This window comes from Homo sapiens, chromosome 10 (genome assembly GCF_000001405.40).
Source record: "Homo sapiens chromosome 10, GRCh38.p14 Primary Assembly".
NCBI lineage: Eukaryota > Metazoa > Chordata > Mammalia > Primates > Hominidae > Homo > Homo sapiens.
In genome coordinates this window covers 114,753,073-114,764,396 of record NC_000010.11, presented here as the reverse complement: position 1 = coordinate 114,764,396, position 11,324 = coordinate 114,753,073, and the positions used below count along the sequence as shown (strand labels likewise).

Genomic DNA, 11,324 nt, shown 5'->3' with positions numbered 1-11,324 from the left:
TATCTCAAAAAAACAAACAAACAAATAAATCAATTTAATCTCATAAGAAAAGCAACTTTATTTTTAAAATTTTAAGAGAAAAGTATTAAAATCCAGTTCTCTATTCAAGCTAACAATTAAAAGCATTCTTTAATTTTATGATAGAGCAAGCTAAGACATTCCCATCTTGTGGTATTTTAGGATACTCTCATCAAAGACTTGTAACTTGGTGTTGTATTTTTCCACTAGAGACCAAAACGGATCCATTATATTTTGATTTTTGAATTACCAGCTAGAGGAAATTATAACACTTGGAATAGAGTTTCCATACCTGGGGAGAATTGTCTAGGCAACCTTTTAAAAATATAGATTCCCAGGCCTCATTCCAGATCTAATGGTTTCTAAACACTAAAGATAGAGTCCCAAAACATGTGAAAAGTGATTCTAAGGACCACTAGATTACAGTGGTGTCCCATTATGGCAGGATCATAAGAGTCAACTGGAGTGTTTATCAAAGGTACTGATACAAAGCCTCTTCTTCAGAGCTACTAAATCAGAATATTCAGGTTAGGCCTGGGCATCTGCATTTTTAATAAGCCCCAGTTATTTCTTATGTACAGGCAGACTTGGGAGCCATTGAATTAGAGCTTATTTTCTCTAATGCCGGGTCTGGATCATCCTGCAAGCTTTCAAAAAAGTTATTTTTAAGTTATAAAAGTAATATATTAAAATCAGGTTGGGTGCAGTGGCTCATGCCTCTGATCCCAGCACTTTGGGAGGCCAAGGCAGCATGAGGTCAGGGGTTCAAGACCCACCTGGCCAACATGGTGAAACCCCGTCTCTACTAAAAAAAAAGTACAAAACTTAGGTGGGCATGGCGTTGTGCACCTGTAGTCCCAGCTACTCGGGGGCTGAGGCAGGAGAATTGCTTGAACCTGGGATGTGGAGGTTGCAGTGAGCCAAGATCATGTCACTGCACTCCAGCCTGGTCAACAGTCTCAAAAAAAAATCACTATCAATGTATTAATACAACAAAACTATGTTAACATACCTATATAATACATTAAAATATTAAATTATAAATTAATACAGTATGTTTAAATTCAAACAGGCTGGAATTATACAAAGTTAAAAATGAAAATCTCCTATTTTCTCCCTTCCTATCAAAACCTCAGAATTAATGGCAAACAGTGCATCCCATAAACCCTTCCAGACAATTTTCTATCTGGTTAGCTTTCGGTCCAATTCAATAAATAGTAAATACATACACCATGCAAGACACATGCAGAAAACAAACACTTTACAAAGAAGCAATCACTCAGTGAAACTGCTGGCTTTTCAGAAGCTTGAGTCATGAGGAAAAAGGCCCAGGTGTGTGTGGATAGATTCCATTGCACTGGCAGGGAAATAACTCATGTGTGCTGTCGAAATCTTAGACCAGTTTTGCTAACGTTGTTTTCGGAACTTCCACAAAACTGGAAGCAACCTAACTGCTCATCCATTGGGGGAATGAGTGACCAGATTGTGGCGCATACATGTGGACTATTACACAGTTATTGGAAAGAGTGAGTGAGACCCATATGCACTGGTCTGGAGGGATGGCCATGATACATTGTTAAGTGAAAAGAGTGTGTTTTAGAATAAAATCTATGTCATAAATGACCCTAGTTTTGTAAATTGAGAAAAATCCCTATGTGTGCATATGTGTGTGTTCCACAAGCAGAGAAAAAATCATAGAACAGTACATAACAAGCATTTAGCAGTGGCTACCTCAAAGGTAAGGGTGAGGAGGGAAGGTGGTTGGCTTTTCTTTGGCTATATCTTTATGTTGTTTGGTAGTAAGTAAGAACAGCTTTAATAGATTGAGAGAAAAATCCAATAAAGGAAAAATGTCCACTTAATCCCTACTCATTCATTTCACTTATTGGAGTCAGGGACATAGATTTTTATTGATTTATCTGATGAACATTTATTGAATAATTGTTACATGCCAGCAATTAGTTAATAGGGCTCAGTATGTACCCTCAAGGAGCTCACAGTTTTATGGGGAAGACAAATACACACATATTTATAAAAGGATATCCTGGCCGGGCACAGTGGCTCACGCCTGTAATCCCAGCACTTTGGGAGTCTGAGGCAGGTGGATCACAAGGTCAGGAGATTGAGACCATCCTGGCCAACACAGTGAAACCCCATCTCTACTAAAAAATAAAAAAAATTAGCTGGGCGTGGTGGCGGGCGCCTGTAGTCTCAGCTATGTGGGAGGCTGAGGCAGAAGAATGGTGTGAACCTGGGAGGTGCAGCTTGCAGTGAGCAGAGATGCGCCACTGCCCTCCAGCCTGGGCGACAAAGTGAGACTCCATCTCAAAAAAAAAGGATATCCTGAGTGGAGAAAGAGAGAGCGAGTGAGAGAGAGAGAGAGAGAGAGAGAGAGCATATGGGATAGAGTGAGAATTATGGTAATACCAAAGAGTGGCATTGAGTTAGCTGTGGGCATGACAACCATATCAGGTGAGGCTTCTTAAAGAAAGTAGAGTTGTTTTCTTGAAGAATGAGTTGGACTTAGCCAGGTAAAAAAGAATAGGATGGAGGGAAGGCCTTTCCAAGGAAAAGGGCATGAAAAGAAGTGGCATGGTGAGTACTGAACCTAGGAAGCCTGTTGCTGCCAGATGACATATTTTTCAGGGAGAGGAGAACCAGATCTCAGTGGAGTTGGGAGATGGAGAGGGCACTTTGGGGAAAGGCTGAGGATGTAGGGTTTTTCACTGACAAGGGCTTGCAGTTCCAGAGCACAGTGGAAGGTTGTCAGTGGTGAGAGATGTGCAGTGGGAAGGAAGAAACAGGGCAGAAAGGGATGAGAAGGGAGAGGAGGGCTCTGTTCTTCCCATGGCTGAGACTGCAGAAATGAGAGAGATGGTTGCGCATGACAAGTTTGAAATGTCCTAACTTTGGCATGAGGAATTTGGTTGCAGACTGAGCCGAGAGCCTGGGCAGTAGCAAGCTGGGGCAGAGAGGTGATAGGGGCTGCCATCTGCTTCCTCGAGTAGCAGCAAAGCTGTCTGCTAAGCATGGCTTGTTCATGGGGTTGGGGCCAAGGTTAGAATGTGGGCGGAGGGACAATAGGAATCAGAACCACACTTTTTTTTTTTTTGCCGATTTCTTGAGCTTTGATGCCTATAGCAGAGCCTAAAATGTATCTGCTAGTTGATAAATGGGAGACTTCTTCATTTCATCTTTCTTCTCTCTTACTTCTGCCCACCACTCTGGGCCTCTTGTCCCAAGCATCACTCTAGCTTTATCGGTTTCTTTCATGGTGATGTTGTAAAGATTAGTGCACTAAGAGTTCTTATTTGGTGTGATATGGGGGCCATGTTTCTGGCCTGTATCAACTACAGTTTCTCCTCTCTTTGAGTTACAGGGCTCCCAAGCAGTTTATTAAATCAAGGAAAGGAGAAACTATCTTTGAAAGCCAAGTTTAGCCATTATTAGATTTAGTATTTAATATCAAAACAGCAAAACACTACATTTCCTGGAAGTTCTTTTTTGCATTTAAAATAAATGGTTCTGATTCAATAAACAGATTTCTTTTTTACATGAGAGAGATCATTTTGGACATCAATATCTCACATGTGGGAGTGTCATATGTTTCAGCAAAGATTTTCAGAAGGTTGAATTGTTCCCACATTGTATCTGTGAACTGCATTATGTTTTGTTTTGTTTTTTAATTTTTGGGAACTTGTGTAGACAAGCTTGAGTTAATCACACTTCTCAGGTAATGGTTTACTATCATTGTCAGTCCATCAGGACCTGCTGTGGTCTAATATATTGATTATTTTATCTCCATTATTTAATTTCATTACCTTTTTGCCATAGGCAACTATTCTTATACATTTGATATATGTGTCCTTGAATTTGTAGTAAAATCAATCCTTAGATCAGTTCTTGAGCTATAAGCACTAAGTCAGTGTGTGTGTGTGTGTGTGTGTGTGTGTGTGTGTGTGTGTGTGTGTGTGAAGGAGAAATTTTCTTCTTGCTGAGAATGGAATAGAAGTCAGTGGGGTTGTAATTTATGTTAGATATAAAAGGGATTCAACAATTAAGAAAAGATATGCTTTTTCTCTTCCCTCCTCCCCAAAACAGAACTGGCAACCATATATCTGAAAATATCTTAACAGCAAGCAAGACAATATAATAGACAGTGTTGAACTCTTAATCTGTCACCCTTTCTCACCGAGATTCAATCAGCTAGTATTTATTGAACCTCTCTCCTGCAGCATCCAGACTAATTTCAAATCCTGTCTATTCCTGGGCTGAGGATGCTAATATACTAATTAATGTAGTCATTTAACAAATAGTTATTGAGCCCTCTGCAGTAAAGATTGTCATGGTTTTTGGGTGGAAAAAGATTAAAGGACATTAGAATTTGTGGTTAAGGTTGGGACAAATGGGCTGATCGACATTTATGGCTCACATTTAAGTATATATTTACATATACTATATAAGTTATAATTCCACCTGGGATGCTTCTATCTAGGACAAATGTTAAACCTGCTGAGATACTGGGACAATAGGTGTATACTGGGGCTATCCTAGGAAAATTGAGACTGTGGCCTTTCTAACTGGTAGTGTTTCTAGCCAGCATGCCTTATGGTGTCGGTGTATTCCTTGGCCTTAAAAGATCGACTTTTGATCAATAGCTGAATATCTGCCTGTAGTATTAGCTACTTTGTAGATTATCTACCTCAAAATTTAAACTTAAATCTTAGGCTGCCTATTTCCTCCCCTTCAATCCAGCACATTTTTGGGCTATTTTCCCAAATGGCAAGTTGGTGTGCTGAGGTATAATTACTATCAGAGACTAACAGCGTTTAGCATAAAGTCAAATCAAAATAAAATTTTAGAATATTTGTTTTTTATTTCTTAGGTAATTCACATGATGATTTTATTCTATTGGGTTAAATTATCCAGATACAATTATCATGGGAAGGAAATGCTTAGTGCCTTTGGGACCTTCATTATCATGGGAAAGGCTCTATTTTTTCCGGTTAATATAGTTTCACATAAGCTTTAAAATGTATAGTTTGGTTTACCTGTGGTTATCTTTGGACTCACAACCTACTTGATTTTATGCCAATGTGCTAGAGATTTATCTTTTCCAGCATATTGTATGATTTTAATGGGAAAATTATCTAATTTGCATTTACCACTATAAGGAAATTGCCCGTTAAAAAATTAGTTTTGGATGGTATATCCTTATTTAGTTGATGAACCTATAAAAGCCTTTGTATTATTGAACCCTGCATTAAAATAAACATGAAAGCAGGAGTTGTGGGTCGAGCATGCAAAAATGATTTGCTGATTGATTGGCGATCATGTTGTTTTAGTCCTTTGTTAGATAATTTTTATAGGCTTGCTTGTAGGAGGAAGAGCTGAACATGCATAATTATTATTATTCATATTTTAAATAAACACAATTAGTCCTTTCTTCTGTATGGTGTGTTCTTTCTCCAGCTCTTTAACATTATTACTTTTGAGAATAATATTAGATGATATATGTATAAATGAAGAAACTTTACCTGTGTTAGGGTCAATTTTTAAATAGTTTTTCCTAAAGAAAATATCACATAATATATTTTTACTTTAGGCTGTGTCCAGGGTCTTTACTGATACTTTTCTTTCTCAACTTATTGGGAATTCATTTAAAAAACATCCACCACAGGGAAGCCACCAGAGAACTGAATGGTAACAATGAAGGGAAACGAGGACAATGAGGTAAACAGCTATTTCTGGCTTTCAGCTCCAAATAGGAATGAACAGAAGGAGAGGAGTCCCAGAGTCTGGGGGAAGGAGGGAGGGGACAGAGCCATAATTTTTAAAAGTCAAAAAAATGTAGAAAAGAGGTTTGGGGTTGGCAATCTCTAATGGATTCCAGGGAGAATTTTTTTGTTCTTGTTGTTCTGGTGTAAAACAAAGGAATCTTTATTTTGAATCACTTAAGCATTGAGTGAGTAATGAGCATGGGCATCAGGGATGGGTGAGTTTTTTTCACCAGTTCCTTGTGACTACTTATTTTAGGAGAATCTATTCTGTGGTTAGATGCTTTATATAAACTGTAGAATTGTAGTTGGCAAGAATGTATTCATTTCTTCAGTTATTCCATAAGTATGAGTTGAACACCTACTAAGTGGTCTAGGTTTTGGAGTGTGACAACCACTTACCATATAAACATATGATAGGTGGTGTAAAGTACTGTGAAAAAAATTTAAAAAAGAAGAATGGAGAATATTAGAGAGGTGAGAGTGTGGGGAAGGTGCTATTGCATATGGGGCGATAATGGAAGGCCTCTTTGATAAAGCGACATTTCAGCAGAGACCTGAAGGAAGTGAGGGGTCATGAAGATATCTGGTAAAGAGTTTTTTAGGCAGTGAGATGAGCAATTCCAAGGCCCTGAGAGCTGTCAGGACCAGGAGGCAGGCTTGTGTGGCTGGATCAGAGAGTACGGGAGAGGGATGGAGATGAAGTCAGAGAGGTAGTTGGGGGAAGGAGGGTGTCTAGTTGGTCCTTGAGACTGCTGTTATGATTTGAGTTCTTCCCTGAGTTAGATTAAGTGAGTTAGGTGAAAGTTCTGAGCAGAGTTGTGACATGATTTGATGTAGTTTAAAAGGATCATTCAGTCAACATGTAGATGGTAAGGCAAGGGTGGAAGCAAGAAGAACAGTTAGGAGGCTACCGTAATGGTCAAGATAAGAGAAGATGGTGGCTTGGACCAAATGGGAGGAGAGCAGGTGCTGAGAAATTATTGGATTCTGGAAATGTTTCTAAAGAATTGCTTAGAGAACTTGCTGATGAGTTGGCAACATGAAGTAGAAGAAAGAGGGGAATCTTAGATCTCTCCAATTCTTTCAGCAACTGGGAGGATAGCATGTCATTTCTTGCAATGAGGAAGAGTATAGAAGGGGCAGATTTGGGGAGGAGATCAAGTATTTTGGACATTTGAAATGTTTCTTAGTCAGCCTTCTATGAAAATATTTATTATTCCTATTTTACAGTTAGAGAAAATGAGACATAGAGAAATGAAGAAACTTGCCTGAGATCATCATCTAGCTAATAAGTGGTTGACTCAGGATTTAAATTCAGGTCTTGTTCGTGCCAGAGGATGCTCTATTTACTGTTACAATGCTGCCTCTTTACATTCAGCTGCAATATACCAGGAAAAGAATCTATCTATTTTTCATTTCTTAATTATTTATGGTTTCTCATTATGGGATAATTTTCTGCATTTTTAAACATGGCTTATGTTTAAGGAAGAAAAAATAAACCATAATCACATTATTCCAAATTATGCCATTTATCAACATTATCATTGTTAGCACTGCAAAAACACTATTGAAATATGAAGATGCATGCTCTATGATTTGGCACTGAGTGCTTGGTATGAGCCAGGCTCAGGGGATCCTAGCTCCTTTCCTTATAGAGTTCCAGAGTGATGAAGGTGAGAGACCTGTCTGCAGAAGTTGCACTACAACGTGTCCAGTGGCACGATGGCGTTACATACAAGATGTTCAGGAGAACAGAGGAAGGATACCAGTGCATCCTGATTGGATATGGGGCCAAGGAAGACTTTACAAAGCAAGTGATATTTAAATAGGGCCTTGAAGAACAAGTGGAATTTGCCAAATGGAGAAGTGGTTGAAAAGCATTCTAAGCACAGGAAATGGTGCTTGGAAATTTTAGAATTTACAAATGGTAATTAAATATATTAAACATTAAGAATAAAACATCTGAAGTTAAATGTAACATGCAGACACAATATGAGGAAAAATTTTAAACTCTACTGAGAAACATAAAATATTTAAGTCATTGGAGAGACATACTAGGCTCTTGGATGATAAGACACAATATTATAAAAATGTTCATCTCCCCTAAATCTCGGCATAAAAGAAATAAAATTGCAGTTAAAATGGCAACAAGGTCTGTTTTAGGGACATGGCAAAATGATACTATTGTTCATTTTGCAAAATGAAATATATGAAATCCAAAAACAAATAAAGTGTAATTAAGGGAGATTAGCCCTATCAGATCTTAAAAAGCAATATGAAACTATATTAATTAAAAGAGTTTAGTGTTGGAAAAAATTAGACAGAGTAATGTCTAGTTATAGTATAGTGAACAAATGTGCATAGGATTTATTTATAGTAAAGGTAGCATTTAAAGATCAGTGTGAGAAGAAAGATCCCCAGTAATCGATGTTGGAGCAACTAGCTAACTATTTAGAAAAGATAAATCTACATCCTTTTCTTACTTCTTTTAGAACACACACACACACACACACACTCACAAACACACTCACAATTCCTATGGATTAAATAATTAAGTATTTAATAAATGGATTTAATCCTATGGATTAAATAATTAAGTATAATAAGTGAAAAAATAGAAATCCTAGAAAAAAACATGGGTGAATTTATAACTGAGAGTGTCTCGACCTTCTAAACAGGATACAAAGCCTGAAAGTCATGAAATAAAAAGTAGATACATCTAACTATGCAAAAATAAGACTTCTATGTGGTTAAAAAATACCATATTCAGCATTCTGGCTTGTGATTCTCACAAGGCCCCAGCAGAGCTGGCTTGAACCTGGCCACCTGCCCCAGGACAGTTAAGTCAGCAAATAACAGAGCGGAGCCAGAGGCAGGTGTGGGATACGACTAAAGTGCCTTCAGAAAGCTTGGCAGATAATTGGACCGATAATGTCATGGCTTACCTGAGGACCTCACTGAAGTTTTACTCTCTGTACAAAGCCGGCTAGACAAGTACTGAGGGTGGTGTTCACTCATTCATGCCACAAACGCGTAGAGCTTTTCTTATTATTTTTCATTCCACAAACGGGAGAGCTTTTAGCACCACATGCATGAAGCACAGGAATGAGTAAGGTATAGTCCCCGCCTCAGAGAGTCCATATTGGACCTCCACTTGGTATCTGAAATATTCAGAATTGGAAGGCCATAGTCACTCCTGTTTTTCTCCTGCCTTCTAGAACATCAGTCCCCAACCTTTTTGGCACCAGGGACTGGTTTCGTGGAAGACAGTTTTTCCATGCACTGTGGTTGGGGAGGAATGGTTTCAGGATGAAACTGTCCCGCCTCAGAAGATCATCAGGCATTAGATGTTCATAGGGAGCCCAACTTATATCCTTCGCATGCACAGTTCACGGTAGGGTTTGCGTTCCCATGAGAATCTGTTGCCGCTGATCTGACAGGAGGTGGCGTTCAGGTGGTAATGCTCGCTTGCCTGCTGCTCACGTCCTGCTGTGCGGCTCCGTTCCTCAGGCTATGGACTGGCACCAGTCGGTGGCCCAGAGGCTGGGGACCCCTGTTCTAGAACATTCATACTCCTTAGGGTAGTCTGGCCTGAGGTTTTTGGATAGTTGTAGGAATAATGAGCAGTTCTTAGTCATTTGCTGTCACCACTCAGGAATGACACTGTCACACCTTTACCACAGGAAAAAAAGGGGATGCAGTGAGTGTGCTCTGCTCCTGGAAACTTGAGATGGACTGCCTGCCAGAAAGGAGGATAAAGAATCTCTCGGGGCTGGACTAGGCCTGGCAGCTTAATTAACTCGTTTATCTCAACCTTTTCTCTTTTCATAGCAAAGCTGCCTACAGTGATAAACACTAAGAGAAGGGTATTTATGTGCCGTGTTCAGAACATTTGATTTAAGTGAGCATTTTTATTAGTGTTTCTTGGAGATTAGCCTGCCCTGGTTCTCTGAATTCCTTTGATTACATCAGAGCCTTGCTTTGGAGGCAACCTTTCCCCCTGATTCATTGCTAATAAACACACTTTGAACTTGGTCATTGGACTCTGTTCTTCCTCTGATAACTAAATTTCTTCCCACCCAAACTTTTTCATGTTAGCATCCAACACACTGAACTGTAGGGAGACATCTGTCTAGGTGGCCCCAGCCACGTCTAGACTGCATTCTGTGAAGCCAGGGACCAAATATTACATGTGTATTTCCAGATCCTTGTCCTGAAGTGGAGTAGATATTTAATAAGCAATTATTGAAAGAATTGGGAGGAGAAACGTTGCCATCTAAGAAATTCACGGTTTGCTGGAGTAGAAAGATTTATGCAAAGGGTGAAGGGGGTAAAATAGAAGGTACAGTCTACAAATTTCTCTGTCCTTTCAGTTGAATTCTACTAAGTTAGACATGACCTAGAAGTTCATTTCCTTATAGGTTTGTTCTCTTAAACCTGACCAGAGGGCTGGGCGCAGTGGCTCACACCTGTAATCCCAGCACTTTGGGAGGCCAAGGCAGGCAGATCACTTGAGGTCAGGAGTTTGAGACCAGCCTGGCCAACGGTGAAACGCCGTCTCTACTAAAAATACAAAAAAATTAGCCAGGTCTAGTGGCATGTGCCTGTAGTCCCAGCTACTTGGGAGGCTGAGGCAGGAGAATCACTTGAACCTGGGAGGTGGAGGTTGCAGTGAGCCAAGATTGTGCCATTGCAATCCAGCCTGGGCGACAGAGCATGACTCCATCTCATCTCAAAAAACAAAACAAACAAACAAAAAAACAAACTGACCAGAGAAACAGTTGTGTTTTTTCAGCTTGGACAATGCAGTTTCTAACCTTGTTCATTGTGTTCGTTGGTGGGCTGGGTTCTTTATCCAAGTAGAAATTTATAATAAGCACTGTTAAAAAGTTTCTGGAGATTCCATGTACAGAAAAGTTATGAATATACAATGTAAGTAGAAAATGAATCCATTTAACTATCTATAAAACTACTATCTCCTAACCCCCCTACTGAAAAGAAAAAAAAGCTGCTTTGCCTTTTCACATATATGTTGAGATCTTTCTGTATTAGTATGTACAGACATTGCTCATGTTTTATGACTGCATAACGTTCAATCATATGGCTGTAGCATACCTGATTTAATAGTCCCTTATTGATAGAATCTTTGCTCATTTGTTTTTATAGACAATGCTGCACTGAATGTCTTTGTGTATATATCTTGAGGTTTTTAGAGCATAGCCGAAAGTATTAGTCTGTAACTTTTAATGAGCTTTACTGGTGATTCAGAAATAACGGAAAGAGAGCATGGTGCACAGAATTCCTCAAACGCCCCTCTGTGGCTGTCTTGCCCTATGCTCTCTTCGTGTACCATCTCCTGTTTTGCTCCCAAGTAGTCTCTGCCTTGCTGGGAACAGCTTATTTCTCCAGCACTATAAAATATTATAGATGATTCCTTTGTTTCTACCAAGGGGGAGACCATTTCTATACCAGAGAAAAAAGAATATTGACTCCCCCTCACTTCATTTAAAGCCAACCTCATTGCCT

General features: G+C 39.3%; 1 protein-coding gene across 21 annotated transcripts in view, besides 1 other annotated feature; it reads left to right on the top strand.

The window, feature by feature from the left end:
• Positions 1-11,324, top strand: part of ABLIM1 (actin binding LIM protein 1) — a 370,264-nt gene that overhangs the window by 36,977 nt on the left and 321,963 nt on the right. The gene's annotated exons all lie outside the window — the stretch shown is intronic.
• Positions 9,301-9,830: an enhancer, noted in NCBI's record as "H3K4me1 hESC enhancer chr10:116514326-116514855 (GRCh37/hg19 assembly coordinates)". NCBI's record gives its function as "activates a minimal SCP1, AML or CMV promoter by ChIP-STARR-seq in naive H9 embryonic stem cells {active_cell/tissue: H9 hESC(naive)}" and the evidence as "EXISTENCE:reporter gene assay evidence [ECO:0000049][PMID:30033119]".